Source organism: Homo sapiens, chromosome 4 (genome assembly GCF_000001405.40).
Source record: "Homo sapiens chromosome 4, GRCh38.p14 Primary Assembly".
Taxonomy (NCBI): domain Eukaryota; kingdom Metazoa; phylum Chordata; class Mammalia; order Primates; family Hominidae; genus Homo; species Homo sapiens.
The window spans coordinates 169773699-169776555 of NC_000004.12; the positions used below are offsets into that span (position 1 = coordinate 169773699).

At 50.8% G+C, this 2857-nt stretch overlaps 1 annotated feature.

Annotated features, from left to right (window-relative positions):
- Positions 1420-1920: an enhancer, noted in NCBI's record as "H3K4me1 hESC enhancer chr4:170696269-170696769 (GRCh37/hg19 assembly coordinates)". NCBI's record gives its function as "activates a minimal SCP1, AML or CMV promoter by ChIP-STARR-seq in primed H9 embryonic stem cells {active_cell/tissue: H9 hESC(primed)}" and the evidence as "EXISTENCE:reporter gene assay evidence [ECO:0000049][PMID:30033119]".

Below are 2857 nucleotides of genomic sequence, written 5' to 3' on the forward strand. Positions count from 1 at the left end.
ACCACCCTGGCCAAGGTGGTGAAACTCCATCTCTACTAAAAATACAAAATTAGCCGGGCGAGGTGGTGCATGCCTGTAATTACAGCTACTCCGAGGCCAAGGCAGGAGAATCGCCTAGAACCTGGGAAGGCGGAGGTTGCAGTGAGTTGAGATTGTGCCACTGCACTCCAGCCTGGGTGACAGAGAAAGACTCTGTCTCAAAACAAAAAACAAAAAAACAAAAAAACAAAAACAAAAAACGGTTAGCCTCTTTTATGTTTATTTCATTCATGTTTATAAATTTACAACTTGGGCATAATACAGGCATTTGTTTTGTCTTTTCCCCACTTGCTCATATTACAAATGACACAGTATTCCTCCATTGTCCTTTGTGGCGGGTGCAGTTAGATGTCCCCGCGCTGGCATGAGCAGGCCAGGGTTCAAATGCTGCCTTTGTTGCATACCAACTGCAGCTCTGGCATGTAAGATGGTAAAAAACAAACAAACAAAACCGCCACCTGCAGAGGACCGTTGTGAGGATTAATGAGGTAGTGTCAGTTTAAGTGCCCCATAACTGGTAGTTGCTGTTTCTGAGTTTATCACGAAACCCCTTATCACGAAAAATTTGTCTCCTTAATCTTTTTTCTTCCTTTCCTGCTTCAATATATCATATGCCTCTGGCAAACCCATACTCCTGGCGGGCTAGGCGGTTGGATCTTGGCCCCTTCTCTAAGGCTTTTCTTGCAGGTTCCCCCTGCCTATTTATGGGCGGTATAAAAGTTATTGCGGTTTTTGCCATTAAAAAAAAATCGCAAAACCGCAATTCCTTTTGCACCAACCTAATAGATGCTCCAGGCCGAGCTGGGAGGTGTTGGGGTGCACACAAGGAGAGAGGACAGGCTGGCCTGAAGGTCCAGAGCGCCGGCCCGGCAGGGTCAACCCAGCCAGCGGTCACGAAGGGAGGTGGAGTTGGGGGAGGCGACACAGGGCAGGAAGTGGGGAGGACAAACGGGGTGCACATGGGGACTGTGGCGATGACACAGAAGGGACAGCCGGTTAGAATCTAGGCCCACTTAGGCGATGAAGGGCAGGTGAAGAAATCCCGTTCCATCTTCCTGTAGTTCCTCCCTTGGGGAGCCCCCATCCTATCCTGCTGTGGACCGGGGCGTCTCCTGGAAGGCCCGCGATCGAGATGAGGCTTCCGAGCCGCCCAGAAGGGACTTCGAAGTGTGCGCAGCGGACTCCGCGGTTCCCACGCGCCCCCTAGGGTGGGTGGACGAGCTGGGCGCCCCCGTGCGGAGAACGGAGGAGGGGTCCGCCATGTAGCTGTTGGAAATGCGGGTGGCCGTGGGGCCCAGCTTGCCGGGCTCCTGGATCCACGTCCAGGTCGCAGGGGAGGGGCCCGCCGCCCGTTTCTAAGGGCCTGGCTGCATTCCTGCGGTCACGATCAGGGGTCTTTGCTTTCTCCCATCCCCTCCTGGAGAAAGAACGCAGCTTTTAACGCGTTCTCCTTGGTTGGGCACCTTTCTTGGGAAAGCTCCGCCTACCATTGCCCTTGTACCTGTCCTCTCCTCTCTCCCTTTCCTGAAGTGACTGCCCGTCTCTTGCACCGTGGTGTGAATGCGTCGAGATCTCGGCGCTGCAGCAGCATCGGAGATTGGATCCAGCCCATGGAGAGGTCCCCAGAGTCCATTTGTCCGTCCCCAGGGCAGGGGCCTCGGAAGAGCAAGGGGGAGGAGCTGACCTAGCCGGCTGATCTTTGTGGCTTAGACAAAATTTAGAGTTTATTTGTCCTTCTGACCATGATCTCAGATCAGATGGACAAGATTAGCCTTACACTTAGGAGCGTTCTGGTGCAAGACTAGTGACTTATTTTTCCTTCCTTCCTACCATCCTTCCTTCCTTCCGTTTTTCCTTTCTTCCTCCTGCCCTCCCTCCGTCCCTCCCTTTTTTCCTTCCCTTTCTATCTCTCTCTCATTTTTTTTTTTTTTTTGACAGGGTCTCACTCTGTTGCTCAGGCTGGAGTGCAATGGCACCATCATAACTCACTGCAGCCTGGACCTCGTGGGCTCAGGTGATCCTCTCACCTCAGCTTCCCAAGTAGCTGGGACTACAGGTCCACAAAACCACGCCTGGCTAATTAAATTTTTTTTTTGTAGAGACAGGGTCTCACTATCTTGCCCAGGCTGGCCTCGAACTCCTGATATCAAGCTATCCTCTCTCCTTGGCCTCCCAAGATGCTAGAATTCCCGGCCATGACTTTTTTTTTTTCCTTCTTTTTTAACCTGAAGCTCTATCCCTTGTCAGTAAAGCCAGCAGCTAATGTTTCCTGTCTCACTGTGTGGAGCAAATCTGCAGCCCTGCTGTCATAGCTCTATTGTGAGGATCTGTTATACCAGCACCTGTTAACTTGCTTGGCATTTGGAGAAGCTAGGTAAATGTTGTGTGAATGAATAAATGAATGAACCCAGCCAAGTATGTCCCATGAGCCAAGTACAAGAAGAGTGGACTCTTGTGCTACTCACACTCTGCCTTCATTGTTAAGAAAGGCGCATTTTTCTAACCAAGGCATAAACTCCAAGAGTGGATACAATGGACGGGTTAGCCACCTGTTAAGAGAAGTGGAAGTTAAATGATTCATAACATTTTGATTTCAATCTGCTGTCCCACCATTATCAGGTGTATGGCCATATAAAGAAAATGAAGTTGGGGCCAGGCACAGTGGCTCACGCCTGTGATCTCAGCACTTTGGGAGGTTGAGGCGTGCAGATCACTTGAGGTCAGGAGTTTGAGACAAGCCTGGAGATTATGGTGAAACCCTGTCTCTACTAAAAATACAAAAATTAGCCAGGCCAGGTGGTACTCACCTGTGGTCCCA